At 52.7% G+C, this 1407-nt stretch overlaps 1 annotated feature.

Annotated features, from left to right (window-relative positions):
• Positions 472-1040: an enhancer, noted in NCBI's record as "NANOG-H3K27ac-H3K4me1 hESC enhancer chr8:92539517-92540085 (GRCh37/hg19 assembly coordinates)". NCBI's record gives its function as "activates a minimal SCP1, AML or CMV promoter by ChIP-STARR-seq in naive H9 embryonic stem cells {active_cell/tissue: H9 hESC(naive)}" and the evidence as "EXISTENCE:reporter gene assay evidence [ECO:0000049][PMID:30033119]".

The raw sequence follows: 1407 nt of genomic DNA on the forward strand, positions 1-1407 counted from the left end.
AACTTCCCTTCTCGCTTCATTTCATTCATTTCATCTTCCATTGCTGATACCCTTTCTTCCAGTTGATCGCATCGGCTCCTGAGGCTTCTGCATTCTTCACCTAGTTCTCGAGCCTTGGTTTTCAGCTCCATCAGCTCCTTTAAGCACTTCTCTGTATTGGTTATTCTAGTTATACATTCTTCTAAATTTTTTTCAAAGTTTTCAACTTCTTTGCCTTTGGTTTGAATGTCCTCCCGTAGCTCAGAGTAATTTGATCGTCTGAAGCCTTCTTCTCTCAGCTCGTCAAAATCATTCTCCATCCAGCTTTGTTCTGTTGCTGGTGAGGAACTGCATTCCTTTGGAGGAGGAGAGGCGCTCTGCATTTTAGAGTTTCCAGTTTTTCTGTTCTGTTTTTTCCCCATCTTTGTGGTTTTATCTACTTTTGGTCTTTGATGATGGTGATGTACAGATGGGTTTTCGGTGTAGATGTCCTTTCTGGTTGTTAGTTTTCCTTCTAACAGACAGGGCCCTCAGCTGCAGGTCTGTTGGAATACCCTGCCGTGTGAGGTGTCAGTGTGCCCCTGCTGGGGGGTGCCTCCCAGTTAGGCTGCTCGGGGGTCAGGAGTCAGGGACCCACTTGAGGAGGCAGTCTGCCCGTTCTCAGATCTCCAGCTGCGTGCTGGGAGAACCACTGCTCTCTTCAAAGCTGTCAGACAGGGACATTTAAGTCTGCAGAGGTTACTGCTGTCTTTTTGTTTGTCTGTGCCCTGCCCCCAGAGGTGGAGCCTACAGAGGCAGGCAGGCCTCCTTGAGCTGTGGTGGGCTCCACCCAGTTCGAGCTTCCCGGCTGCTTTGTTTACCTAAGCAAGCCTGGGCAATGGCGGGCGCCCCTCCCCCAGCCTCGTTGCCGCCTTGCAGTTTGATCTCAGACTGCTGTGCTAGCAATCAGCGAGATTCCGTGGGCGTAGGACCCTCTGAGCCAGGTGTGGGATATAGTCTCGTGGTGTGCCGTTTCTTAAGCCGGTCTGAAAAGCGCAATATTCGGGTGAGAGTGACCCGATTTTCCAGGTGCGTCCGTCACCCCTTTCTTTGACTCGGAAAGGGAACTCCCTGACCCCTTGCGCTTCCCAGGTGAGGCAATGCCTCGCCCTGCTTCGGCTCGCGCACGGTGCGCACACACACTGGCCTGCGCCCACTGTCTGGCACTCCCTAGTGAGATGAACCCGGTACCTCAGATGGAAATGCAGAAATCACCGTCTTCTGCGTCGCTCACGCTTGGAGCTGTAGACCGGAGCTGTTCCTATTTGGCCATCTTGGCTCCTCCCTAAATAGCTGTTGTTGGCCGAGCATGGTGGCACACGCCTGTAATCTCAGCACTTTCGGAGGCCGAGGCGGGCGGATCACAAGGTCAGGAGATCCAGACTATCC

This window comes from Homo sapiens, chromosome 8 (genome assembly GCF_000001405.40).
Source record: "Homo sapiens chromosome 8, GRCh38.p14 Primary Assembly".
Lineage (NCBI taxonomy): Eukaryota > Metazoa > Chordata > Mammalia > Primates > Hominidae > Homo > Homo sapiens.